Below are 26,281 nucleotides of genomic sequence, written 5' to 3'. Positions count from 1 at the left end.
AAAAAATGTTAATTTAATTTAATTTAATTTAATTTAATTTTCAGACAAGGTCTTGCTCTGTCGCCCAGGTTGGAGTGCAGTGGCATGATCACGGCTCATGGCAACCTCTGCCTCCCTAGCTGAGGTGGTCCTCCTACCACAGCCTCCCTAGTAGCTGGGACTACAGGTGTGTACCACCCTGCTGGGCTAGTTTTTTAAGAAAATTTTTATAGAAACAGGGTCTTACTATATTGCCCAGGCTGGTATCAAACTCCTAGGCTCAAACAATCTTCCCGCCTTGACCTCCCAAAGTGCTGGGATTACAGGCGTGATCCACTAAACCTACCCAAGAAAATTTTAACCTTAATGACGTCTAGCTTATTAATTTTTTCTTTCATGGATCTTGCCTTAGATGTTGTATCTAAAGAGTCACTGCCAAGACCAAGGTCCTCCAGGTTTTCTCCGATTATCTTCTAGGCATTTTATAATTTTGCATCTAATATTTAGGTCTGGAGATGTTCTTCGCCGACAGTCACCGCGGTTTCCTGCTTCACCTGTGCTTGGAGGGAACTGGCGCTTTTCCCGTGCCCCAGCGGCTGGCGGCTCAGAGCCAGAGCTTCCACCTCCTCACCGTGCGCTGGGACCGCCCTGAGGCCCCCGGTCAACCTGGCGCTCCAGCCTCCTCCATCTACCTGTCCACATCTGATGCTTTCACCGCCATAACGTAGCTTTGAGGAATTTTGCCAAAAACTTATTTCTTCACTAATCTCATGAGGAGAGGGAGCCCGCTGAGAAACCGATGAAGCTGCAGAAACAACGAAGGGGCGGAGTCTTCCTTCAGGAGTCAAGACACCAGGCGGAGAACCGGCTGAATGCGATGGAGTGTGTCTTACACTTGGAAAACACGTGAATCGGTCACTATTGGAACTGCGTAAAAACGGCTCCCGCTTGTGTCACCTTATTGAGACACATTACCTCAATGAACCAGTGAAATCCATCAAAGAATTGGGTGTCCACGTGACCAACTTGTGCAGGACGAGAGCCGGGCATCTGGCCTGGCAGAATCTCTGGGAGAGAGGGATAATGACAGCTAAGCCTTAGGCTCGTTTCCTGTAGCCACGGGGTGACCTCTCTGGACCGAAGCAGTGCCTGCACGGTGGGGTTTCCTTTACCTTTTCTGTAAGTTATGCCAAAACATCCACTTAAGTTCTTTGATTTGTACTATTCCTTAAAATAAATAAATTTAGTATCCAGGCCACCAAATTTAGGTCTGTAATTAATTTGAGTTGATTTTTATGAAGGCTGTTAAATCTGTGTCTAGATTCATTTTTCTCTTTGTGTATGTGGATGTCAAGTTGTTCCAGCATTATTTGTTGAAGAGACCATTCTTTCTCCATTGTTTGGCTTTTGCTCCTTTGTCAAATCAGGGGTGTCCAATCCTTTGGCTTCCCTGGGCCACACTGGAAGAAGAAGAATGGGGTCACACATAAAATACACTAACACTAACAACAGTTGATGAGTACAGAAAAAAAATCTCATAATGTTTTAAGAAAGTTGGCAAATTTGTGTCGGGCCACATTCAAAGCCATCCTGAGCTGCATGGTGCCCGCGGGCTGAGGGTTGGACAAGCTTGGACAAGACGATGAAATTTATATGGGTTTCTCTGGCTCTCTATTCTGTTCCATTTGATCTATTTGTCTCTTCTTTCACCAATACCATACTATTTTGATTACTGTAGCTTTATAGTACATCTTGAAGTGGGGCAGTTTGGTTCTCCAATTTTGTTCTCCTTCAATATTATATTGGCTATTCTGGGACTTCTGCCTCTCTATATAAACTTGAGAATCACTTTAATATCCACAAAATAGTTCGCAGGGATTTTTTTTTTTTTTTTTTGAGATGGAGTCTCACTCTGTCTCCCAGGCTGGAGTGCAGTGGCACAATCTTGGCTCACTGCAGTATCCACTTCCCAGGTTCCAGCGATTCTCCTGCCTCAGCCTCCCAAGTAGCTGGGATTACAGGTGCACACCACCATGCCCGGCTAATTTTTGTACTTTTTGTAGAGACGGGGTTTCACCATGTTGGCCAGGCTGCTCTCAAACTCGTAACCTCAAGTGATCTGCCCACCTCAGCCTCCCAAAATGCTGGAATTACAGGCAAGAGCCACCAAACCCAGCCCAATTTGCTGAGATTTTGACCAGGATTACACGGAATCTACAGATTGAGTTGGGAAGAATTAATATCTTGGCAACATTGAGTCTTCCTATCCATGAACATAAAATAGCTCTCCATTTATTTGGTTCTTCCTTTATTTTGTTCATTAGAGTTTTGTAGTTTTCTTCATGTAAATCTATACCTAAGTATTTCATTTTTTGAGTGCTAATGTAAATGGTATTATGTCTTTAATTTCAAATTGCACTTGTTCATTGTTGGTATACGGGAAACTGATGGACTTTTTAATATTAACCTTGTAAGAATTATTTAATACAACCTTGCTATTAATATAATCCCTTATTAGTTCCAGTATTATTTTGTTGTTGATTCTTTCAGATTTTCTACACAAACGATCATGTCATCTACAAAGATAGTTTTATTTATTTCTTCCCAACCTGCATACATTTTATTTCCTTTTCTTGTATTATTGCACTAGCTAAGACTTCTAATATGATGTTGAGAAACAGTGGTGAGAGGAAACATCCTGATTCCTGATCTTACTGGAAAGTTTAGAGTTTCTCATTGTTAAGTAAAATGTTAGGTGCATGTCTTTTTTGTAGATTTTTTTTTAATCAAGTTGAGGAAGTTTCCCTCTCTTCCCAGTTACCAAAAGTTTTTTTGATAAACAGGTGTTGATAAACAGGAGTCAAATTCTTTTTTTGTATCTACTTATAGGATCATGTGATTTTTCTTCATTAGCTTGTGGATATGATAGATTATACTAATTGATTTACAAATGTTGAACCAGCTTTGCATACCTGAGATTAATCCCACTTGGTTGTAATGTATAGTCCTTTTTATACATTGTCAGTCAAATTTGATTTGTTAATATTTTTTGAAAAATTTTGCATCTGTATCTGTGAGAGTTGTTGGCCTGTAGTTTCTTTTTTGTAATGTCATTGTCTGGTAGGCAATTAAAAAGATCAGAATTTTCCCTTGTTTCCTCATCCTTTTGTTCTGTGTTGCTATAAATAAACCAGAAAGATGCCATGTACTTAAGTAATGTCCTGGCATTTTTTCTTCAGGAAAACCCTGCTTATGAAGCCAGGGAAGTGACAGAAGGCTGGTGACTCAATCTAGGATTTGCGAGGTGGCCTCACAGGTCTGTTCTTTAGCTTTAAATACCTCTGGTGTAGGATTTTATCATCCATTTGTTCCATGTGAGGCAACATTATGAAACTGACTCAGATGAATCAAACTCATAGCAGACTAAGTCACCTTACAGAGTGCTTATTTATCAATTTATAATGAGCTGTGTGTCTTTCCAATAACTAGCCCATTTATATGTGCCATCCAGGATATTCCTTCTTGAGTATCATGCCAGAAATAAAGCTCACAGTTTTCAGATGCATTCTGTACACAAGGATATATTTGTTACATTACATACATTATTTCCATTTAGTCCTCACTCTAACCTTGTGAGGTGTTATCCTCATTTAGCAGATGAGAAAATCAGTGTTTACAGAAGCTGAATAAATTACTCAAGCTTACAAATCCAGTGAGAGAGAGAGTCAGAACTTCCTGGCTTCGATACCTGTGAGTCTTCTACTACATTGAACTTCATGGGCACAGAACTGGACACAGAGATGGTCTCACACAAGATTCACGTTACAGTGGAGTTCAAGAGTTAGGAAAGGTCTCCCCCAGGAAATGACTTTCTGTCTGAACTCTGAAAGAAGAATGTGGACAGGTGAAGAGCCAGGTGAAAAGTGTGGGCAGTGGGAACAGCATGTATAATAGGAACAGCATGTACAGTGGTCCTGAGGTGGCAAACTTATTGGTGAACTTGAGTCACCAAGTCACTGCAACCCACTGAGCATGGGTAAGGAGCCTAACATTAGAAAATTAGCAAAGGAAAAGGAGCAGGAGGACTGAGATGAAATTTCCCAGTTTACAGTTGAGACCCTTTTGGAGCTAAGCTGGTCCAGCTGCTAGTATTAGACTATTATTTAGGGTGGGCAGATAGGCTATCAGAAACCTCTAAATTTTCTGTCTTCATATAAACCTCTGCGATGTTCCAGTGCCTTAAATTATGTGGATATTTTTTCCAACATGGTTGGCCTTCTTATTGGAGATTTGCTTGTGGGGGAATAGCTAACTGGGCTACAACTGTTTATTTTTCTTACAATACTGCATTATCTATAGTCTCCAAGGTTGTCTACAACTTGAATGCCCATTGGAATCAGCTGGAGAGGTTGTTTAAAAATATGTTTATTTGGCCCCCAACCTGACTGACAGAAGTGTCAGCATTTTTTTTTTTTTCACAAGCTCTACAAGCTATTCCTACGCAGCTGGCCTGACTACTTCTCAGAATGTCCATGCTCTGGGGCAGGTTCAGTGGGATGTCACACAGTGTCAGACAGGTGGGTGACAGCAGCACAAATCTTAAGCAAGGTTCGTGTTTCCCACCTAATGGTGGTGCAGGGCAGAGAATCTGTCTTATCTTCCCTGGATAAGGAGGACAAGCATGTTGTGTATGTTCACTTCCCTTCCTTTCATCAGGACTGGGCTCACCCATTGAATCAATTGGCTAATGATAGCTTCAATAAAGTGCTGGCAGCGATATTGAGAAATGGTCATTGTACTCAAAAAGCTTCTTTACTATGCATTTCATCAATTCTAAAATGCACTAACATAAAATAACATTTTTTCACATTTTAATATCTCAGGAATGGGATTGTGACTGAAAGTTGACTGTATCTTAGTATTTGTTACAATGCAACTGAGAAGTGTTCTTCTCTTTCTTAGTGGCATGTAAAAGAATGATGCCACTTAAAATCAATGCCATCTTCAAATTAGTTAAATATAGTTGTTAAAAAAGAAAAAGAAATACAAAAAGTTGAAAACAGTAGTTGAAAAATCAATGACATCTTCAAATCAGTTAAATACAGTAGTTGAAAAAGAAACTACATGTTTGTGTAAACAGAAAGCCAAATGAGCCTTGCTCATGCTGTTGCCTCTACATGGGTAATTCTGTACCTCTGCTTCACCAGTTCAATTAATCTATTACAACGCAACCCAAACGTCCCTCCTCTAGGAAGCCCTCTTTGTCACCCCAGTCTTACCACTCAGTCTGGGTTCAAAGTCCTTCCTCTGGGTTCATGCACTTGCCTCTGACCTATATTTATCATACTGCATTGCATTTGTCCCATGGTTGGTCCGTTTCTTGCCTACCAGGTGGTGAGCTCCTTGAAAGCAGAGATGCAATTGTACACCTCTGTTTTCCTAGTGCCTAGCACAGAGCCTGACACATAGTAGAAGTTCAATAAATGTTCGTTGAATGAATGAACGATGAAGGATTGAATAGGGTGTATGTGTTTTGTACCATATGTAATGCCACAGGAGTTCAGAAGAAAGGCAGAGCCCAGGGCTGAATAGACCAGGGAAGATTTTCTTAAGGGAATGGCGTATGAGCTGTTCTGGTGAGATAGCCAATGAAATCACTCATGGGTATCATGAAGAATGAGAAAGGGGCAGAGCTAGGACCCTCATCTCTCTCTCTCTCTCTCTCTCTCTCTCCTTTTTTTTTTTAGACGGAGTTTTGCTCTTTTGCCCAGGCTAGAGCGAAGTGACACGATCTCACCTCACTGCAACCTCCACACCCCAGGGTTCAAGCAATTATTCTGCCTCAACCTCCCGAGTAGCTGGGGTTATAGGTGCGTGCCACGATGCCCGGCTAATTTTTTTTTTTTTTTTTTTAAGTAGAGAAGGGGTTTCACCATGTTGGCCAGGCTGGTCTCAAACTCCTGACCTCAGGTGATCTACCTGCTTTGGCCTCCCAAAGTGTTAGGATTACTGGCACGAGCCACCATGCCCGGCCAGAGCCCTCATCTCTCTACTGGGTAGATCCTGTGGCAATTGTTACCTAGCTGGATTTTGTGTTTGAATTTTGGGAGGCGATGAGGTTTCATTCATCATTGCCCTTAGTAATTAACTCTGGTTGCTGGAAAAATAGACTCTCAGATTCAGAGGAAAAAGTAGTTCAATCCTCAGTGAGCTGTCACAGGAAGTCCTGAATGTACTTAGTTTTTGTGGTTTAGCCCTCAGAGCTTCCTGCCAGAGTGTAACAAGGTTTAGCAAGTCTAAGAAGCCAAGGAGAAGGCGGGCAGACAGGACCACAGACAAGGCACCAGCATTTCAAAGCAGGTGCCTTCTCACCACCTATTGTTTTAGAACTCTAACTGAAAACTATTTTTTTCTCCCCACTTCCCTCAAAGTACAGCTGCATGACTGCTAGCTGGGGATGGGGTCTGACCTTTTAATCATAGTCATTTAAGACACTTAAGATTTGATTCAACTGAGTTGTCTCTTAGCCTATCTTTTTGTATGTCATCTGATGAGTTCATGACACCTCCAGTATCCATAGATTCCCTTGTTTTGAAGGATGACAGTACAGGTCATTATGACCGTGTCTGAACAGTCAAGAAAGTAAGACCTAAAATGTTAAGTTTTCTGGTGACTCCTGTTAACGTTTGTGCATGGAGGCTTTAATTCATTATGGAAATCTACAAATAGGTTGTTGGACCCAGCTTTGCAGCTGAGACCTGGGGAGCATGTTCGGGTCATTCTGGTGAGGACTAAGGAGGTCTCAGCCGGATTGAGTTGACTGAATTTGATCCTGCTGTCACACCAGCGAGGCTCTTTCTTATTCGGCAGCTTCCTCTCCTCGACACTGGGATCCTTCACACAATGAGCAGACACGGGTCTAGTCAAAGCTTTTATTTCACTTTTACTCACAGGATGGTGGGCAAGTGTCCACCAGGGCACATAAGAAACTCCAGAGTCTCTTAAGCAGATAGGCTGCTTGTAGTGAGACCCAGGCACACCAATCACTTGATTTATCGCATCTACACATGACCTGAGAGGGGACAAGAAATCTCTAAGATTTCTGTGCTCGGTCCTCTACCATTCTTGCAATCACACTTATATTGCTTCTCCTTACTGGTGTGATGGAGCTCTCTGAGGAGACCAAAAACTCCAGATGTTGACCACATGGCTGAGTTCGAAGATGCAGAGGTGGCTGTGGCCCACAGCCTCAGGAGGTGACAATGTTCTGCACACAGAAAACACCTCATGGAAGTACGGATATGCACATCAGGAGGGCAGAAATCCACAGTGCTTTTTATTGAAAAAGACAGTTTCTATCTTTTTTAATTAGAGGAAGGGGACAATGAGTTTTCTGCTGCCCCATGGGGAGGTTTTGGCTGAACTCGAGGTCTGGGGAGGGGCGGGCCTTTCTGCTGGTGAACTTGTGTGCCCGACGGAGCAGGAGGCCTCTTCTGAGGCTGGTGCTGAACACGGTGTCCAGGAGGCGGGGGACGATGACTAGGTGCCTGGGAACGATGACCAGGTGGTGGAGGAGGATGTTGGGAAGTTGCTGGATTCTGAGGGGTTGAAGCTGGAATTTGGTGGGGCTTCCGGCCCCTTTCTTCAGTAGCTACTCTGTGGGCTCTTGTCTCCAGCTCCTCATCTGCAACAACAAAACCTCAATAGAGTTCATCTTGGCCAGGTGAAATCAATGTAAATATTGAGTACCTTTTATATGCAAGGCGCCATGCTAGCTGCTTTGGGGGATGCAATGAGGAAGCAGAAGTTGCCCCTACTATCTGAGAACTCTAAGCTTGTAGGAGAGAAAGAAGTGCTCACCATAAGGTAGAGTGAAAGCCTAGGACAAGAGAACTCAAGGAATCAGCAGGAAGAAGACACATGGGTGGAGGGCTTTGTGCCTGGGGCTCCCATGATCAGAGAGAGCACGCAGACCTGGAACCCTACCTCTGTGCTGACCTAGAAATTGTTCCCTGAGAGCAAGAACCTCATGGTTAGAGCGCATGGGAAGGGGTTATGAGCAGTCATGGAGGATATTAGTAACTACATTCCTTCTGAGGCATTTCTATGTTAGATCTGCCTTTCCCCCAATTCTACTGTCATGCAATCCACCTTCCGGCAAGAGGTTGGAACACATGCAAGGAACTTTTTGTCCTTAGAAATTTACTCGCTTCTCAGAAATTCAAGACCTATGTTCTTGGCCTTAGGAGGGAAAGAACTCCTCCTCTCCTCACCCTTCAGGATTTTCTTCTTTGTGTGACTTCAGTCCATGAAAGCAGGCCTACAGCTACTCGTAATGTAGTTTTTCCTGTACTCTTAAAATCACAGGGAATCTGTGAAGGTGCCCAGCTGCTAGAGGCCTGGAGCACCCTGCTGGCCCCTCTGGACTCCTTTAGGCTGTAAGTTAGGTATTTCAGTCCCTGCACCCAAGGCCGTCTTTGCAGTGGCTCCAGAGGGAGGTAGGAAGAGAAGTTTTTCCCTGGGGTGAAATAATTACCTCTTTTTTTTTTTTTTTTTGAGTTGAAGTTTCACTCTTGTTGCCCAGGCTAGAGTGCAATGGTGCGATCTTGGCTCACTGCAGCCTCTGCCTCCCAGGTTCAAACAATTCTCCTGCCTCGGCCTCCTGAGTAGCTGGGATTACAGGCGTTCACCACCACGCCCGGCTAATATTGTATTTTTAGTAGAGATGGCGTTTCTCCATGTTGGTCAGGCTGGTCTCGAACTCCCGACCAGGTGATCTGCCTGCCTTGGCCTCCCAAAGTGCTGGGATTACAGGTATGAGCCACCGCACCCAGCTGAAATAATTACCTCTTACATCTTTATGGAGATGTGTGGCTGGGGAAGCACAAGCCCTCTCTAAGCATCACCCTGTAACTTCCGGATGTTGATTCAAACCAGATGGCCTCCTCTGACTACATGAAATGTGAGCATCAGATGGCTTTGAGTGTAGAGTCAAAGTTAGACAATGTGATTTTGATACCTAAATGGCTCGTGTGCTCTAAGCACAAAGAGGAAAGGGCCTCCAGAAAGGACAAAACACATCCTCTATGCCATCTTCCGTGCCCTGCAGTCATTGCTTAGGTTATGTCCAGTAGACTGTGGAGAGGGCTCTAACCCCTGGCCCTAGTTCTGAATTATGGGGCAGTGGGTGGTCCTTCTTCATCTCCTATGTGGCAAGCTTGCACTGGCCATTGGTTTACTACTCTGTTCACCCACTATTTTTGTTTTTTATTTGTTTTGTTTTTTTGAGACAGGGCCTTGCTCTGTTGCCCAGACTGGAGTGCAGTGTGTGATCGTATCTCACTGCATTCTTGATCTCCCGGGCTGAAATGATTCACCCACCTCAGCCTCCTGACTAGCTGGGACTACAGGCATACACCAATGCACCCACCTAATTTTTAAGTTTTTTTTTTAAAGTAGAGACCAGGTCTCACTATATTGCCCAGGCTGGTCCCAAACTCCTGAGCTCAAATGATCCTCCTGCCTCGGCCTCCCAAAGTGCTGAGATTACAGATATGAGCCACCACACTTGGCCCATACACCATTTGGTTCATTTGTCCTTCCAACATTTATTCCTCATCTTCCAAGTGTTAAGTGTCATTGTGACTTAGACACAAATTGTCCTCAGGAAGCCTAAAATCAAGTAAGAGGCAAACAAGAACTGAAAATCGCAATGTCAATTTCTGTGAAGAGCCCAGGGCCACCAGAAAGTGTAGACAGAGGCACATGAGCTCTGGTAGGAGGAATGGGGTGTAGCCACATGGCTGAGACTGCAGGCAGGGTTGGACAGACAAGGTTGGCTACGGCTCTGTGCACCCTGCCTGGTTCAAGCAGGACAGTGGGTCCTCAGCCTACCCACTCCAGCAGCTGCAGCTGGCGCCTAAATGTGTGCTCCCAGGAATTCCTCCAGGCTCATTGTCCTTCTCCCTTGTTTGCATCTCCTGGTTACTCAACCCAGGGCATGACTGGAATGAGGCAAGCGAGGCTGACAGGCATGCAGTTTAAAGACACACCAACTTTCAGGTTGTGCAAGGGCAGGCCAGCCTCCTTAAATTCTATGCCTTAAATTCTGGGCTCCTTGCCTCGGCCTAGGCCTGAGTCAACCTACTGGCCATAGGATTTAAGGCAAATAATTGAACCTCACTGAACTTAAGCTTCCTCATCTGTGTTGTTATCTATCTCCTAAGATCACTCTGAAAGCTGGATGCACTAATAGACATAAAACACAGAGACTAACGACTTTTTTATCAGCATGAGCTAACCATCATTCTTCTCAGCCTGGTGATGGCAGAGATTGCCTTGTCTTGGGGTGACAAGTGAGGTCCACCTTGGAAGAAGATATGGTCTTTGACCATTAGTCAATGGAGAAGGAGCATGGAGAGGAGCATGGAGAACAGCCAGAGCTGGGCACAGAGGAGGATAAGCCAGGCATGCCTAAGGGCCCTGCCAGCGATTCTGCTGTGCTGTGGTGGAAAGTGTGGGACAGTCGTGGTGGGAAGAATGGGACTAAGTTCAGGATGATGTTTCGGGGCCTGGGCTGGGGGTAGTGACGTGATGGGACGTGGGGCTGAGGGACCGCAGCCTGATGGGGAGGCAGAAGGAGAACTGAGGAAGAAATCTGAGGTAAAGAAGCCAAATCCAGAGGGCACGGGGCCCAAGGCCACCGGTGCCTGGGGAAGTTTGGACCACCTCCCTGGGCAGCACTGGAAGCAGCTGGTGTGGCTGTGCCTGCCGGTTCTAGGGAGAGACCAAGTCCTGCTGTGAACGTGAATTGCAGAGAACCCCAGGGCCTGTTCCCTTGGCTGCAAGTCCCGCCAATGGCTGACACCCTCATCTGTGCCCCCCACAGTGACCCCGGGTTGGCCATTCTCTGAAGTGTTCTGCCTTGGGTGGCCTGGATGCTCCCTAAGCCGGCTCCCCACTTGCAAGCATAACCTTTTCATTGCTGATAGATTGTCAGACAGGCCTGATCTGAGGAAAAACTCTCAACCCTAACACATCCCTCGAACAGAGAATTAGCAAAGGGGGCACAGGCACCCTGCTTTAGAACAGCTGTTTTCCTGTGACTACCTGATGACCTGAATGATTTTCCCTGTGTTTCTAGGAGCTTGGTCCTGAACTCACCTTGGGCCACCCATAGATAGGACATTTATTCCTAGAAACGGTGTTTTGGAGCTAACCTTTCTGCCTATGTAGAGAAGTGTGGCTCATTCAAAAGATGTTCACATTAGCCTGTCACCAAGTAGGCCTCAGTGGTGGATTCCAATGAGGCCAACTGGATTCAGTGTCTCAAAGCTCCCACATTGTCACCACTAAGAATTTGTTTTTCAAAAATCAAGCTAACCACAAAATGAAACAAGCTATAACCGCTGACTACAACCCTGACATTCCGAAACTACCTATTTCCATCATTTTCTCTGCAGATTCAAGGTGTCATCCCCATGAGCTGTTTCATGGGGATTTTGCTGGGGCCTGCGGTGGGACAAAAGAGGGGGAGCTTACCATTTCTCCGACTCCTCTGTTTTTTCCTTTTGGTGATATAGAAAACGAGCAGTGCCACAAAGACCATCAAGAGGCTGCCTCCTCCACATATGCCAATGATGAGATAGATGTCCAGACCTTTCTCTGCAAAAGGAAGAGAAGTGGGATGGCTGGGAGGGGTCCAGGCAGAGAGCCCATTACTCTGGCCAAGGATGCTGCCTCCTGCATCAAGCAGATAGAAGAGCTTGTTGGGACCTTTCACCCCATAACTCCCAGGCTCACAGAGGGTGGTGAGTGGTGTCAACCCTGGAAGGACCCAAGGTCCTTGGGAAGCTCCCTCTGCAGGCTCTTTGGGAAACTGCTCTCAGGGGCTAGAAATGCCTGATTGTTCATGCACCAAGGCCGGCCTGCCCACTGCCCCCGTCATGGAAAGCATCACGAAATTTTAGATCCGAGGATCTTAGAGATACTCTAAATGCAACCTCTAGCTTCAAACATGAGGCCCTGAGAGGGAGAATGAGTTGCCCGAAGCCACACAATATCTGTTCCTGAGCATTTCCCTTAAGCAGCCCCTTGTCTCGGTGTTTCTGCACTGTTGATCCTGCTCTCGTCTCTGGCTACCCCCACTGCACCATGATTCCTTCTCACTGTCTCTACCAGGCAGTTTCCAAACACTCAGGGTAAATATTTCACTTGTCCAGCCCAGCACTCTGACCTCACGGCCAGCACCCTCTCACAGAGTTTCCCTGGAGCCACGAGAGAAACCCGGGTGCACAGTGCGTTAGTAACAGCAGTGGGCTTAGTCTTCAGTTGCTGGACCTTCAGTCACTGTAATGCAATGAGGAAAACAGTGACTTTGGTGTTAAGGGAAATGGGTTTGGTCTAGGCTTTTTTAGGCAGGAGCTGTGTGAACTTTGGAGAGTTACTTCACCTCTCTGAGCCTGTTTCCTTCTTTGTAAAGTGGAGATAATGAAACCTACATCATAGGGTGGCTGTTGGAAGTCAATCAGATAATGGATATGAAAGTGCTTTGTAAACTGTAAAACAACACAAATGTGAGGTCTTGCTCTTACTAGTGTTCTCGCACTGGTGTTTCTGGGAGCTGTTTCCCAGCAACAGGGGAAACAGGAGGGGTTCTAGGGCTGTCTGCCCTTTGTGAGTCAATAGCAGTTAGAAAAGCAGCAGTGGGGCTCGGGTCAGGGGACGGGGTCATCTGAAGAACAAACTGGAACTTGGCCCAGCATCACAAAAGAAATGCTTCTCCAGGCAAAAACATACCAGGGAGACACTGTTATACATGAAGCCCAGGATGGGCCCCAAGGAGAGGGTCAGAGGCTCAGAAACCAAGTTTAACAGATCATCAAACTGTGGTGGTTTATTCATCTTGGCTTTCTTTCCTCGAGTCTCTCTCTGACCCATTCTTTGCCTGCCAGTTACACAACTCTCTAAGCTCTACTGATGAAGAGGCCTCCACCAGAGAAGCAGACATAATCTTAAACCATTGAAATTGGGTCAGTAAAGGATTCAGGGCCCTTTAGGCCCTGCTGGCTTGGACGAGGGGCAGGAGATACCAGAGGCCACTTCCTGCTGAGCTTGAGAACTTTTCAGATTTGACCCGGGGTGGGGCAGGGCAGGCCTGAAATGCTTTGGGGAGCACATGGCTAAGTCATGCAGCCACCAGCTCCATCTTCCCTCCAAGTCATCGGGTAGGGTGGCCACAATTTTATCTTGGGCACATGCAGGAATGTAGGCAATGCCTTACACAGCCTGCTCTCCAGTTTGTCCAGGGTGGTGCCCTGGGGCACCTGGTAGTACTTTTGGTGGGGAATGTTCCATCATGTTTCAGAAGCAGCGGTGGCACTGTCAGTCAAAAATATGCCCTCCCAGTTCCTAAATCCAGGCATACTATCTTCCAACAGTATCTCTTGGAGATCACATGCCCATGAGTTTATGTGACAAATTATTTTTGTGCATCTGAATCTGTTCCTTCCTCCTAGTATTTTGATTTTAAGTATGTAAACACTCACCTAATCTGAGCCAAATGGTCAGACTCTGACCATTGCTCCTCTCTGCCTTGGCCTTTCAGAATAAAACTTCCAAATCCCTTTTCGGGTCTTCAAGAGCAGCTCCTCCACCCTAATCTCTCCCCAGGTATTCTTCCCATCTCCCTAGTGGTCCTTCTCGCAATGAGCTTCTGCTCTGCACCATAGAGTAAGGGACATAAGTGTTCCAGCCTTCAAACCTTGGCTGCTCCCAAGGTCCTCCCTCTCTCCCTCCTTCCATCCCTAATACACACACATATTTATACTTGTGGGCTCCAGTTAAAATAAACATGAAAAGTAGGGTTGCCAGATATAATGCAAAACACCCAGTTAAATTTGAATTTCAGATAAACAATGAAAAATTTCTTGCATAAGTATGTTCCATGCAATATCTGAAACGTACTTATGCTGTATTTTTATTTGCTATATCTGGCAACTCTAATCAAAGATCTCCCGAGGCCACTGCAGTGACTCATGCCTATAATCCCAGCACTTTGGGAGGCTGAGGTGGGAGGATAGTTTGAGCACAGGAGTTCGAGACCAGCCTGGGCAACAGAGTGAGACCTTATCTCTACAAAATTTTAAAAATTAGCTGGGTGTGGTGGCATGCTCCTGTAATCTCAGCTACTGGGGAGGCTGAGGTGGGAGGATTGCTTGAGCCTGGGAGGTGGAGGCTGCTGAGAGCTATGATCATACTACCACACTCCAGCCTTGGCAACAGAGCAAAACCCTGTCTCAAAAAAAGTTGCGAAGTCAAGGAGAGGCAACTTCACTTACTGTGCCTTAGTGATGGGGGAATGTGGGAGGATGACTGGTGGGAAAACCGGGGGTGAAGTGATGCTGGTCAAGTTGGTGATTGGCAGACTCTCAGATGCCTTCAATGACCCCTGCTTCCTGGTATTCTCACCTATGTGCAATCCCCTCTGATTGAATGTGGGCTAGACTTATTAACTTGCTTCTAATGAACAGAACACAGCAGAAGTGATTGGGATATTACTCCTGAGATTAAGTTACAAAAAGACCACGACTTTTGTCCTGGGCACTTATTCCTGCTCTTTCTTAGAGGGCTCTGAGGGAAGCTAGCTGCCATATTGTGAGGCAGCCCAACGGCCCACATGAATGAACTTGGAAGTGGATCCAAGAGCCTACTCATCTAATAGTCTGTGAACATGGTGCTTATTTTCTTTGTGGGCCAGGAAGCTGAAGCCTAGAGAGGGGAAGAAACTCTGTCAAGATTCTCTGGCTAAATTTGGACAGACCCAAACTAGAAGTCCAGACCTCTACTCCCAGGCGAGAGCTTGGGCACTATAGAAGGCTGCCTCTCAGAAATACTTCTGGAGGTCACATCAGGCTGGGACACTGGGGATCCATTATGGTCTTGGAGTTTTGAGATTTTCTGGAGCTAGTCCCCAAGCCTTGCCGTCCTGTTGTGTGCCAGGAGTGTTGCCTTGCTGTCCACAGTCCTCTTTGGCCTCAAGGGCTCCATTCCCCCATGACCCTGCCCCCCAGGGTTTCTGCAGCCTTTCTACCTTTACTCCTGATGGGAGGTGCTGACCACTAACCATCTTTAGGGGAGCAGTTGGAATCATGTCACTAACTAGCCAAGGGACCTTGGGCAAGTCAGTTTCCCTCTCTGGAAAATGGGGCTTTGCATGAGATACTCTCTACAGCTCCTCCTTCTTCAGTTTTGCAATTCTTTCTCCTAGAAGAGGATCTTTAAAATTTCTTGTGGTCAAATTGTGCTCAGTGGGAGGACTCCCAGGATGGAAAACCATAGAACACCACCTCCCCTGATGCTTCCCTTGAAGGTTTCCAGGAGGAAGAGATATGCTTTCATGCCTCATCCTGAGCCAGGGCTGCCTCCCAGCATGAGCACCTGTGACCTGGAGCAGCATGCCTCTGCCTACTGAGGGCCTGGCAGGCTGTGTTTGTGAAGTGATGCCCGCCACGCACCTGGACAGCTGACAGGCTCGACACTGGATTCCTTGCTGACTTTGTTCCCTGCTGTGCACTTGAATTTTGCACTCAGGCTGGTGGTCCACTTGTGTGTGATGACCCTCTGAGAAAGTTTTAGATGTTTCCCATCTTGATACAGGTTTAATTCGGGGTCAGTTCCATTCATTACCTCACAGGTCAGGGTTGTGTTGATACAAGTCCAGGAGATCTTTGGTTTTGAGACCCTCTCTAAAAAGAAAGTAAAGATTCAGTTCAATTTAGGCAATTTTCTGATTTTAATAAACATATCTATTTATACAGTGGGGGATGGAGTCAGTTAGGGACAAGGGAACAATGTCAAAGACCTCTAGCAACTTTTGGAAATTATTTTATTTTATTTTATTTACAAAGAGCATTCAGAAAAAAATTATTTCTGATGACATTCACAGATACATTATGCCACTAAATAGTGTATCATATGTAATGTTTATATGCTGTCTTATACCTTAAAATGCTTTCACATATATGACATCACTTAACCCTAACAGACAGGCTGATGTTTTTCTTCCCATTTACAGACAAAATGTTCAAGGCTCTGAGAGGTCCAGTAGGTGGTCTTGGGGCACCACCTAAAACATGGCAGTCAGGGTTTAGGAGTATGGGTAAGAAAGTGCCTCCAGAGTTTGAGAAAGGCAATGCTTTAACAGCAGCCAGGAACCCCATCCTGGAGGAATCACCACATTGACATGTGACTGGGGACCTTGGATACCTCTGCCCCCACCAAGTTCCTGGAGCAGTGGGCCAGGTGGGTATATGTGAGTGTGTGGGTGTCCAAGGAGCTCAAAGCTCTAGGGAAAAAGAGCACCTGCCTGGGAACCAGAGACTTGATTCTGCCTTTTCCCAGCCCAGAGCTGCTCAGTTGCTCACAGGGTCTACGCTGGCCCTCCTCAGAGCATCAGAAAAGGATCAGAAAAACATACCCTACCTGTCACAAAAGGAGCAACATGTGGCAAAGCCCTGGGCAGATCGTTAGGCACTGACATTATTAGTGGTAATTCATGCATTCGATAATCACAAACCTCTTGCCTCTCCCGCACAGAGATTGCACCACAAAAGGAAAATGCCTAGGCCTAGCATTAGATGGCTCAGGTCTACATCTTAGCCCCATCACTTCCTAGCTGTGTGAACTTTTCCTTTTCCTCGTCTTCTGTTTTTTTTTTTTCTCATTCTTTACTTTGTTCCCCCCAGACTTGCCACTTTTCCCTCTCAGTTTCTCTCCATTCATAATATAGATGGACTAGCTTATTTTTCAATGATTCCCTCCCACTCTGACTTCCAGACACCAATATTTTCCCCATGGAACACCATAGTCAAACTTCATTTATGTCCCGATATATATAGGCATGCAGAAATTAAATTAAAAGTTTTCTTCTCATCCCAAGATTCTGCGTTACTGAGAAGGAAGAAAATGGAAATTATCAACATTCAGCAACAGAGTTAGTACATAGTCTAGAGGTTGGGTCACGAAGTTTGCCCGTCTCTTCAGAATGGAAATATTTTTTTTCTACTTATAACAGCAACACAGTAACATGATTGTGGTGATGGTTGCAAAACTCTGAATATACTAAAGGCCGTTTTAGTGTATGGACAAATTGAATGATAGGTGAATTATCTCAATGAAGCTGTTTAGAAAAAAAAGAAAAGGTCATCATCCTTGCCAAAAAGACCTCTGAGTTTGAATCCTGACTTTGCTCCTGTCAAGCAATGAGACCTTGGACAAGCTGCTTCTGACTAGGTCTCTGTTTTCTTATATATAACAAGGAGATAATAACAACTAGGTCTCAGTATTGTTGGGCGCTTTAAATAAGATCATGTAAGCAAGCACTTGACCCCTAACTGGTAGCCATTATTTCCGCCGCAATGCTAAATGTGACCCAAATGTGAAAACACCAACATGGTCCCCCATGTAGGGCTCACACTCAAAACAGGACACTCGAGTTCTGTGCTGTTTGGAGTCCTGAGATCTGTGGTTTCCAGAGCCCATAATCAGAGGCTCTTTTCAGCGCCATGCTCAACCCCACTACATTTCTACAAGGTGCTCTCCACTCAAGGTTGCAGGACTAGGGTGTGGAAAGTTGTCACTTCAGGGGAGCTGACAGTGTCTGGGATTGCTGGAGTGGGCAATCTGACACTATCTGGGATTGCTGGTAGGCCCAGGTGCTGAAGATGGGGCTGGAGACAGAGAGGAAGAAGGTGGGGTCCCTGCTTCTGGCGACATTTTCTGTGTGAAGCACAGAAATGCTTATTTGCTCACTGAATGGCTGGCCTGTGCTCATGCTGGGGTTCCTGTCTTCCTCCCCAAGCCAGCTTCCTCTTTTCCCTTCTTATCACTCCCTGCCCAGCATCCGTGGGCTTTCAACTCCAATCATTGTACAAGCTGATAAAATATTTTTAAAAGTTTAAAGCAGATTAAAAATTACCCACAACGCCACCACTCAAAGTCAATAATGAATAATATTTTCATGTATATCTTTAGCAGATATTTTCTATTTATATGTATATATATAAATAATATAATATTTCAGCTGGGAGAGGTGGCTCATGCCTGTAATCCAGCACTTTGGGAGGCTAAGGTGGGCGGATCTCTTGAGGCCAGGAGTTCAAGAGTAGCCTGGCCAACATGGTGAAATACATCTCTACTAAAAATATGAAGATTAGCCAGGTGTGTTGGCATGCGCCTCTAATCCAAACTACTCAGGAGGCTGAGGCATGAGAATTGCTTGAACCCAAGAGGCAGAGGCTGCAGTGAGCCAATATTTCACCACTGCACTCCAGGCTGGACGACAGAGTGAGACCCTGTCTCTTTCTGTCTGCCTCTCTCTCTCTCTCTCTCTCTCTATATATATATATGTAATATTTTAAAAATTAAAACTAATTTATGTGATCTTACAGTCTGCCTTTTCCCCTTTATTGTGAAATTATATTATGAAGTTCTTTTCTTAATGAACATCAATAAATGCATATATGCATCTTTTTAAAGGATGCATTCTTAATTTAACTGATTAATAAGTTTCTAACTGCTGACTGTTCTAGTATTTCGCTAACATGAATAATGCAGTGATGGGCACCCTTGTGGAGTAGTACCTCCGTATACATTCACTAAGATAGCGTCTTAGAACTGATCCAACCTAAGGCCTTCCATGGATGAGAACTCCTTAATTCTGAGTTGCTGGGATTAACCCCTTCCCTACTAGCATCTGCTTCTAAGGGGCCCTCCATTGCCTCTTCAGCCTGCAGCAGCAACTCCCTCATGAAGGAAATGCAGGCACAACTACTGGAGTTTGAGAAGTTTGGAGGCCGGGTGCGTGGTTCACACCTGTAATCCCAGCACTTTGGGAGGCCGATGCAGGCGGATCCCCTGAGGTCAGGAGTTTGAGACCAGCCTGACCAACATGGCGAAACCCCGTCTCTACTAAAAATACAAAAATTAGCCGGACGTGGTGGTACATGCCTGTAATCCCAGCTACTTGGGAGGCTGAGGCAGGAGAATCGCTTGAACCTGGGAGGCAGAGGCTGCAGTGAGCTGAGATCATGCCAGTGCACTCCAGCCTGGGCAACAGAGCAAGATGCCATCTCAATTAAAAAAAAAAAAAAAAAAAGAGAAGCTTGGAGAAACAAAGAGATGTGGGAGGGCATTAGCACTGAGAAAACAGGCATTGTGCCCCAGGCACTGCAGGACACTTGTACACACCTTGTCTCACTGAATATCCCTTGAAGTTGTCATTGGAAAAGCAGACTCACAGCAGATAGGGAATTTGCCCAAGGCCATGGTCACCTTAAGTCTGGTAATAGTGACCAACTACAAGTTGAATCAAGATGTTGTATGACATTGACGTGCACACACATAAAGCAAGTCACTGTCTTTCGGCTAAAGGGTGAAGGGTTTCTTTTTGGGGCAATGAAAATGTTGATTGTGGTGATGGTTACAAAACTCTGAATATACTGAAGGCCATTTTAGTATATGGACAAATTGAATGGTAGATGAATTATCTCAATGAAGCTGCTTGGAAAAAAAAAGAAAAGGTCGTCATTCTTGCCAAAAAGACCTCTGAGTTTGAATCCTGACTTTGCTCCTGTCAAGCAATGAGACCTTGGACAAGCTGCTTCTGACTAGGTCTCTGTTTTCTTATATATAACAAGGAGATAATAACAACTAGGTCTCAGTATTGTTGGGCGCTTTAAATAAGATCATGTAAGCAAGCACTTGACCCCTAACTGGTAGCCATTATTTCCGCCGCAATGCTAAATGCGACCCAAATGTGAAAACACCAGCATGGTCCCCCGCGTAGGGCTCACACTCAAAACAGGACACTCGAGTTTTGTGCTGTTTGGAGTCCTGAGATCTGTGGTTTCCAGAGCCCATAATCAGAGGCCCTTTTCAGCGCCATGCTCAACCCCACTACATTTCTACAAGGTGCTCTCCACTCAAGGTTGCAGGACTAGGGTGTGGAAAGTTGTCACTTCAGGGGAGCTGACAGTGTCTGGGATTGCTGGAGTGGGCAATCTGACACTATCTGGGATTGCTGGTAGGCCCAGGTGCTGAAGATGGGGCTGGAGACAGAGAGGAAGAAGGTGGGGTCCCTGCTTCTGGTGATATTTTCTGTGTGAAGCACAGAAATGCTTATTTGCTCACTGAATGGCTGGCCTGTGCTCATGCTGGGGTTCCTGTCTGCCTCCCCAAGTCAAGCGCAGCTTCTTCTTTTCCCTTCTTGTCACTACTTCCCCAGCATCCCCCCGGGCTTTCAACTTCAATGGCATTTCGATTCCACTTTCTCTACCTTCTCTCCCTTGCCTAAGCCACCTTTCTCTATGCCTGACCCTTATTATCCTCATTCTTCCTATTTTAGAGGCACCCTTTGGTCTAGGCCAGTGGCGATTGACTTTGGCAGCTCATTAGAATCCCCCAGGGAGCTTTAGAACCTAATGATACCCAGGCCGCATGCAAAAAAAATCTGATTTAATTGGTCCTCACTCCACTTGGATTACAGCAGCAGCTTTCTAACTAGTCTCCCTAACCCCATCCTCAATATCCACTCCTGTCCTCCCAGTACAGGCAGAGATATACAAAGCCACACCTTGTGCATCTTCTACACATATCAGCAAAAATCACCTGCCACCTTGTATCACTCTGACAAGCAGATCCAAAATAAGGGCTGTTCATCCTTAAATATGTTGTTTCCAGCCCTTTTCTGCCATATAACTCCTCCTTCAGGGCAGCCTGGCTTGAAATGGGCTCTGTCGATGAAAGGCCCGCTGCTCTCCAGTCAGCCTCTTCTTCTCGCCCCACTCTTAGCTCGCCGATTCATCAGCAACCTGGAACAGTTGCCTTTTCCCTCGGCCTACCTGTGTCCCCCTCCCGATTAATGCCACCTTAATCCAGGTTCTTCACCCAACCCCACATTCCTGTAACCACCTGAAGACAGAGTTGTAGGCAGGTAGACTTGAGGGTCTATCAGATGTGTGGATCCCATTCCCGCATTGGACCACAGTCTCCACTGGGGCAGGAGACATGCATCTGGTTTCCTGTATAGCCCCCCTGGAGGCAGAGGTCAGCGCTGGGGAATATTAGAAATGCTATTTTCCAACTTGCCAAATAGCACCCACACTGAAATAAAGCAATTAAGGGAATGAACACTTACCTTGAATCTTCAAATCAAATATTTTTTCCAACACATTTTTTCCTTTTGTATCATATATTGATACCTTGTAGATATCCTGATCATCGGTCTTCAGATGCTTAATTTTCAGAGTTCCATTTTTAAATAGCTTATATGTATCTTTTTCCTTGAAAGTCTCTTTCTCTTTTCTGAATTGTGCAATCTTTTTCTTGTCTGAAGTTTTTTCCCATTTTATATCGTCAATATCATCACTCATTTGAAAACTAGGAATGTCCAAGTTGATGTCCTGACCCAAGGCACCCCAGGTTTCCAAGGCATTCGTAATCTCTTTGGAGACTGCACCTATAAAAAGCAAAAGAGTTACTGAGAGTCACTTTCAGGGAAAGCTGGGTTGGGACTTCTTTGACTCTTATGCTTACCTTTGGAAGAAACATTGAAAATCAGAAGGAAGCTGGCTACAAATTTACATGGAAAGCTCATCTTAGGGGTTGGTTTCCTCTTTTGATTCTGAGCTCTTCATGCAAAAGGAACTGAAGTGAGACTGGTGGAGTCCACACCCCGAGAGCTTAACCACGTGCCTCTCTTTACATCTTTTACAGTAACATAAAACATAATACACATACACAGAGAGCAAGAGCGCGCACAAGCCAGCCCTTCTGATGTGCTCCTTTGCCAAAGCAGATGTGTTTATGAGTGTGTGTTTTCTTGCTGCATTTTAATTCTCACACAAAAAAATTGGGAAGGATAGGTTTTCTCATCTCAGTGAAAGAGAAAAGGAACAGAGAGGCTAAGTAGATCACTAAGGATCACTCTTTTGTAAACAAGAAGCCAAATTCAACCACACAGCCTTTTATCCACTTAGGTATACTGTCCCTAACAAGACCACATAGAAATATAGGTAAATGTTCACAAGCCAATAGCAGAATGCAAACATTTATCCCATATGATTATATTGAAAAATGTAGACCCATAAAATGATGAGGAAATTGATTTTTTTGTTTCTCCAAAGATATTTTTCATGTTCTAAAATCGTTTTTGTGGTGAAAAGAAAGAAATTGAATATCAGCTGTAAATGCTTGCAATCCCCAAATCCTATGTTCGGCATACATTTTACAACTCTAGTGAAATTCACAGTTAGATAAATAAAAACTTATTCCAAAACAAAGAAGCATAGAGACTATGAAATATAATTAAACTACCAAAACAAAGGAGTCAAAAGCATTTAAAGTGATTAACATTATAGGTGGTTAAGAAAAAGGAGAGATTAGGAGAAAAAATAAATGAGAGGGAACAGGGAGAGAAAAAAAGAACAGAAATTTGTGACACAAGGAAACAGACAGTGATGCAGAGACGGGTGTGCCCTGAAAAGATGCCTAAAAAGAGAAATAACCATGACAGACTTCCAAAGCACATTTTCAGGGTTATAATTCTTTAGGTCACAGTGAGTAAAAATTGCAAAAGTGGTGCTCGTTTTCTTTTTCAACTTTAAGTACAAATATGGATATTATCTGTCAGAAAGTTGCCAAGGAAATGAAATTAAGTCAAAGCAGTTGTTTGCTGTTACTGGGTAAAAGAAAGCCAAATATTTACCTCATGGTTGTATGAGCGTCATCCACAATAATGAACTACAGTTGGATTAAAGTTTTAAATGCAAAAATACTATAATAATGCTAAAAGGAGGCCGGGGGTGGTGGATCACAGCTATAATCCCAGCACTCTGGGAGGTCGAGGCGGACCTCCTCACCTGAGGTCAGGAGTTCAAGACCAGCCTGGCCAACATGGTGAAACCCATCTCTACTAAAAATACAAAAATTAGCCAGGTGTGGTGATGTGCGCCTGTAATCCCAGCTACTCAGGAGGCTGAGGCAGGCAAATTGCTTGAATCTGGGAAGCGGAGGTTGCAGTGAGCCAGGATTGTGCCACTGCACTCCAGCCTGGGGAGCAGAGTGAGACTCTGTCTCAAAATAAATAACTAAATAAATAAAATAATAACAATAATGCTAAAAGGACAATATAGAAAGATATTCCTATAGTTTGAGTATGGAAGGCCTGGCTACATATAACATATAATCCAAAGTAAGAAAGAAAAGATGAACACAACTGATGATATAAAGAAGTAAGATTTACATGCAGATGAAGAAATAAGGAACAAAATGAAAAGGCGTGACAAAATATTTGCAATATATATAAAATTATTAATATTCAAAATATTCTTACCAATAATTCTTACCAATCAATACAAAGTAGTTTTTAAAATGGGCAAATGATATAAATGATCAGCTTGCAGAAGAAATATTTCGCAGAAGAAATATCAAACCTACAAGAGGAGTCTAATGTGACCAAAAATATATGTATATATCTTAGCTATAAAATACCATTTTTCACCATCAGATTGGTAAAATTAGAAAAGATGATAATTTACATTATTAACATGAGTGTGTGGAGAAATGAACCCTCATACAACATCAGAGGGAATGTAAATCAATACCTTCTGGGGAAAGGAATTTATCATTTCCACCAAACTTTAAAATTTATGTCTTTTTCTCACCTAGTGATTTTAATTTGAGAAATCTATCCCACAGAAATGATTGCACAGATGTTTTAAAATTCTGTTCAAGGACGTTTGTTGTAGCATTTTTGTAATAAAAAATTGCAAACAACTAAAATTATGGTATATCCATATTATGAAATATTGTATAACCATCAAAATAGTATAACATAGGCCTAAAAGTAAGACATGGAAAGATGCTTTTGGTAAATCACATGAAAAGAGCACATTGCAAAACAATATCTATAGGATTAGTCCTTTTTATATATGATACTATGTTTATACTATGCTATGGGTATACCAGTATACCATAGCATACTATGTTGTTATTAAGGTATGTGTTGGAAAAAAGCCTGAAAGGGTTGATGCTGAATTTTTTTACAGTGCTTGTCTTTCAGGTATTAGATTGTGAGAGAACTGAAATGAAATTTTCACTTCTTACCTTTGTAAACCAAAAAGAATTTGAGACAGATCTCAATCAATTTAGAAGTTTATTTCATCAACATTAGGGACAAAAAGGAACACAGAACCACAGGAAAAATCTGTGGTTTGTGCCTTTTTCTCAAGATTATTTCAAAACCTTCAGTTAAGGGGAAAAGCTGGCCAGAGGGGAAGGAGGGAGGGTACAGTCACATTACTGAATCCATATGTTGCAAGAGAAAAAAAGTAGGTAGGGGAATGGTCAATTTGTATTCTTCTCATGCTCAGTAAATTGGCACTTTCTTAAGATAAGGTGAACATAGAGTAGCTACCCGTGGAGACAGCAGCTTTTTATCTGTAACTCTCTGCTTAGGAACTCAAGGAAAGGCAGTTTCTTGTGTGACTCAACTTTCAGCTTAATTTTTCCTTTTGGCATAATGAATTGGGGTCCCAGGATTTTATGTTTCTTTCACATTTTATTTATTTCTGTGAAGTTTAAAATTTTGGAAATAAGCACCTTTTTTGTTAATAAAAAATGTCTTTTTAAGAAAGGATGCTTAGGGCACACGTATTTTTTCAAAAGTATCGCCAACCCAGAGGAGCAGCATGGAGCTTCCTGTTTGTGAGTGGCTGACCCACCAGCTGCCATCCAACTCCAGTGTGTCAAGGCCTGGTGGAGAGAAGGTGGCGCCAGCCATCCTCTGACCCATCTCAGCTTTGGAGGGCGCTTGTCCTCTCTTCCTCACACTTTCCTCATGGAGCATGTGAAGAGCAGCTTTCTGTTCCTCTATTTGAAACATTAATTTTGCTCCTCTAAAACTAATTCAATTCTGAGTGATGAGCATGGCTTCAAGGGCAGAAACAATGAAAAAGAAAGAGGTCAGTAGATTTGACTCTGTAAAATGTGAAAACTTTCTATGTAAAAAGCCATAAAAAAATTAAAGACAACGTACTAAAAGGAGCAAATTACTTGCAAGATACATGACAAAGGCATAACAATTTTTTTTTAATTTTAGAGACAGGGTCTTGCTCTGTTGCTCAAGATGGAGTGCAGTGGTATGACCACAGCACCACAGCATACTGCAGCCTTGACCTCCTGAGCTCAAGTGATCCTCCTGCTTCAGCCTCCTGAGTAGCTGGGACTACAGACATGTGGCACCATGCCTGGCTAATTTTTTTATTTTTTGTAGAGACGGGGGGTCTCACTATGTTGCCCAGGCTCATCTTGAACTCCTGGGCTCAAGTGATCCTCCCACCTTGGCCTCCCAAAGTGTTGGGATGACAGGTGTGGGCCACCGTGCCTGGCCAACATTAAATTTTTAGTATTAAATTTTTCTTGTAAACATAGAAAAGATAGACACCTTAAAACTAAAATGGGTCAAAGTCATAAAAGGAGCAATCCACAAAAGAAAAATTTTATTTCTATTTATTAATAAAGAAATGTCAGTTTTAACATAGATGCATTTTTCATCTTCATTTGAAAAATGAAAACATAGTGTTGATGATGGTGTAAATGGGCATTCTTGTATATGGCCAGGAGAATTGCAAGTAGGTATAGTTTCTGGTGGGCAATTTGTCAGTGTGAATTAGAGTATCAAACATTTGTGGATTTCTAACAAATCCACAAGGATGATTTTATCATAAGGAAATAATGAAGGCTATGTACTAGACTTGGCTATAAATTTATATGCTGCAGTATTTTAAAGACAAAATTGGAAACAATTTAAATGTCTAAGAGAAGGAAATTGGTTAAGTAAATCATGATATAGACAAGCTGTGGAATATGACAAAAACAGGTCCCAATTGTAGGAGAGGTGAAAAGTAATCTTTTTCCTCTTCTTGTCTTAGGTTCTCTGGCTGGAGCCCTGTAAACCAGACTGGGAAAAGACAGGTTAAGAAGGGAAAGGCACATTGAAGTTGATTAAGATGTGTATCCCTCATAAACATGGGAGCACCCAGTGGTGAGTAACCCAAAGGGATGTTAGAACTTGGACTTATAGAGTATATTAGACTAAACAAAGAAAAAGCGATTTGGGGCTTCTAGGTTGGGGAGGCAAGTTACCCAATGACCAGGAAAAGTGTGCCAAACAACAAGATGTGTTTAGTAAGGTTTGTTATGCAGATTGAAGCCAATGCCTTCTCCATTGATAAGAGTTGTT

The 26,281-nt window shown here is 43.9% G+C and overlaps 1 protein-coding gene and 1 pseudogene across 2 annotated transcripts, besides 25 other annotated features; one reads left to right on the top strand and one right to left on the bottom strand.

Moving 5' to 3' along the window:
* Positions 560-1,049, top strand: FTH1P22 (ferritin heavy chain 1 pseudogene 22; annotated as a pseudogene).
* Positions 1,301-6,873: a locus control region, noted in NCBI's record as "5.5 kb BamHI-XbaI fragment". NCBI's record gives its function as "lymphocyte-specific developmental regulation of the CD2 gene" and the evidence as "EXISTENCE:transgenic organism evidence [ECO:0001131][PMID:2564317, PMID:7665895]".
* Positions 1,301-6,910: a biological region, named in NCBI's record as "CD2 locus control region". NCBI's record gives its function as "regulatory_interactions: CD2 | LOC107161156".
* Positions 4,789-6,910: a locus control region, noted in NCBI's record as "2.1 kb HindIII fragment". NCBI's record gives its function as "lymphocyte-specific developmental regulation of the CD2 gene" and the evidence as "EXISTENCE:transgenic organism evidence [ECO:0001131][PMID:1682894, PMID:8599090]".
* Positions 5,111-5,510: a DNaseI hypersensitive site, noted in NCBI's record as "HSS3; the nucleotide coordinates are approximate for this feature". NCBI's record gives its function as "required for prevention of position effect variegation" and the evidence as "EXISTENCE:in vivo cleavage assay evidence [ECO:0001075][PMID:8599090]".
* Positions 5,411-6,910: an enhancer, noted in NCBI's record as "1.5 kb exonuclease III-digested HindIII fragment with partial exclusion of HSS3; 3' coordinate approximate". NCBI's record gives its function as "CD2 enhancer that confers copy number-dependent but mosaic expression in transgenes" and the evidence as "EXISTENCE:transgenic organism evidence [ECO:0001131][PMID:1682894, PMID:8599090]".
* Positions 5,471-5,482: a protein binding site, noted in NCBI's record as "HBP1-binding site". NCBI's record gives its function as "necessary to protect transgenes integrated in heterochromatic regions from position effect variegation" and the evidence as "EXISTENCE:protein binding evidence [ECO:0000024][PMID:10562551]".
* Positions 5,561-5,910: a DNaseI hypersensitive site, noted in NCBI's record as "HSS2; the nucleotide coordinates are approximate for this feature". NCBI's record gives the evidence for it as "EXISTENCE:in vivo cleavage assay evidence [ECO:0001075][PMID:8599090]".
* Positions 5,611-6,910: an enhancer, noted in NCBI's record as "1.3 kb exonuclease III-digested HindIII fragment with exclusion of HSS3; 3' coordinate approximate". NCBI's record gives its function as "CD2 enhancer that confers mosaic expression in transgenes" and the evidence as "EXISTENCE:transgenic organism evidence [ECO:0001131][PMID:8599090, PMID:10581035]".
* Positions 5,811-6,910: an enhancer, noted in NCBI's record as "1.1 kb exonuclease III-digested HindIII fragment with partial/complete exclusion of HSS2 and HSS3; 3' coordinate approximate". NCBI's record gives its function as "CD2 enhancer that lacks copy number-dependent and position-indpendent function in transgenes" and the evidence as "EXISTENCE:transgenic organism evidence [ECO:0001131][PMID:1682894]".
* Positions 5,911-6,510: a DNaseI hypersensitive site, noted in NCBI's record as "HSS1; the nucleotide coordinates are approximate for this feature". NCBI's record gives its function as "LCR enhancer region" and the evidence as "EXISTENCE:in vivo cleavage assay evidence [ECO:0001075][PMID:8599090]".
* Positions 5,949-6,478: an enhancer, noted in NCBI's record as "550 bp AflII-MstII fragment". NCBI's record gives its function as "minimal CD2 enhancer" and the evidence as "EXISTENCE:reporter gene assay evidence [ECO:0000049][PMID:2209539]".
* Positions 6,149-6,180: a transcriptional cis regulatory region, noted in NCBI's record as "CD2E4 sequence". NCBI's record gives its function as "necessary for full enhancer activity" and the evidence as "EXISTENCE:reporter gene assay evidence [ECO:0000049][PMID:7706298]".
* Positions 6,149-6,180: a protein binding site, noted in NCBI's record as "CD2E4 Elf1-binding site; cannot confer transcriptional inducibility on a reporter gene". NCBI's record gives the evidence for it as "EXISTENCE:protein binding evidence [ECO:0000024][PMID:7706298]".
* Positions 6,255-6,277: a transcriptional cis regulatory region, noted in NCBI's record as "CD2E3 sequence". NCBI's record gives its function as "necessary for full enhancer activity" and the evidence as "EXISTENCE:reporter gene assay evidence [ECO:0000049][PMID:7706298]".
* Positions 6,352-6,375: a transcriptional cis regulatory region, noted in NCBI's record as "CD2E2 sequence". NCBI's record gives its function as "necessary for full enhancer activity" and the evidence as "EXISTENCE:reporter gene assay evidence [ECO:0000049][PMID:7706298]".
* Positions 6,352-6,375: a protein binding site, noted in NCBI's record as "CD2E2 SOX4-binding site". NCBI's record gives its function as "reporter gene transactivation" and the evidence as "EXISTENCE:protein binding evidence [ECO:0000024][PMID:7706298]".
* Positions 6,443-6,463: a transcriptional cis regulatory region, noted in NCBI's record as "CD2E1 sequence". NCBI's record gives its function as "necessary for full enhancer activity" and the evidence as "EXISTENCE:reporter gene assay evidence [ECO:0000049][PMID:7706298]".
* Positions 6,898-21,697, bottom strand: CD2 (CD2 molecule). Of its 2 annotated transcripts, none has more exons than NM_001328609.2 (5): positions 21,574-21,697; positions 21,176-21,496; positions 15,495-15,725; positions 11,521-11,721; positions 6,898-7,663 (listed from the first exon to the last, which is right to left on the bottom strand). In NM_001328609.2, exons 1-5 carry the CDS (start codon positions 21,632-21,634, stop codon positions 7,344-7,346), a joined length of 1,134 nt encoding a protein of 377 aa, NP_001315538.1. In that variant the 5' UTR covers positions 21,635-21,697; the 3' UTR covers positions 6,898-7,343. The 2 variants fall into 2 exon arrangements, with proteins under 2 accessions (NP_001315538.1, NP_001758.2); NM_001767.5 differs by having other exon boundaries at positions 11,521-11,643.
* Positions 21,580-22,022: a promoter, noted in NCBI's record as "CM0.5 AccI to +55 minimal promoter fragment; includes DHS2 only". NCBI's record gives its function as "CD2 T cell-specific gene expression" and the evidence as "EXISTENCE:reporter gene assay evidence [ECO:0000049][PMID:7929376, PMID:11181063]".
* Positions 21,580-24,177: a promoter, noted in NCBI's record as "CM2.5 BglII to +55 full-length promoter fragment; includes DHS1 and DHS2". NCBI's record gives its function as "CD2 T cell-specific gene expression" and the evidence as "EXISTENCE:reporter gene assay evidence [ECO:0000049][PMID:7929376, PMID:11181063]".
* Positions 21,603-22,002: a DNaseI hypersensitive site, noted in NCBI's record as "DHS2; the nucleotide coordinates are approximate for this feature". NCBI's record gives the evidence for it as "EXISTENCE:in vivo cleavage assay evidence [ECO:0001075][PMID:2567000]".
* Positions 21,714-21,743: a protein binding site, noted in NCBI's record as "USF-binding E box motif". NCBI's record gives its function as "required for CD2 basal transcriptional activity" and the evidence as "EXISTENCE:protein binding evidence [ECO:0000024][PMID:7929376]".
* Positions 22,944-23,447: a silencer, noted in NCBI's record as "0.5 kb silencer PCR fragment". NCBI's record gives its function as "CD2 transcriptional repression" and the evidence as "EXISTENCE:reporter gene assay evidence [ECO:0000049][PMID:11181063]".
* Positions 22,944-23,947: a DNaseI hypersensitive site, noted in NCBI's record as "DHS1; 1 kb PCR fragment from PMID:11181063; includes activator and silencer regions; the nucleotide coordinates are approximate for this feature". NCBI's record gives the evidence for it as "EXISTENCE:in vivo cleavage assay evidence [ECO:0001075][PMID:2567000]".
* Positions 23,081-23,110: a transcriptional cis regulatory region, noted in NCBI's record as "AP2-binding site probe; binds an unidentified factor but not AP2". NCBI's record gives its function as "required for repressor activity" and the evidence as "EXISTENCE:reporter gene assay evidence [ECO:0000049][PMID:11181063]".
* Positions 23,448-23,947: a transcriptional cis regulatory region, noted in NCBI's record as "0.5 kb activator PCR fragment". NCBI's record gives its function as "CD2 transcriptional activation" and the evidence as "EXISTENCE:reporter gene assay evidence [ECO:0000049][PMID:11181063]".

Source organism: Homo sapiens, chromosome 1 (genome assembly GCF_000001405.40).
Source record: "Homo sapiens chromosome 1, GRCh38.p14 Primary Assembly".
Classification (NCBI taxonomy): Eukaryota; Metazoa; Chordata; class Mammalia; order Primates; family Hominidae; genus Homo; species Homo sapiens.
This window is presented reverse-complemented; position numbering and strand designations above follow the sequence as displayed.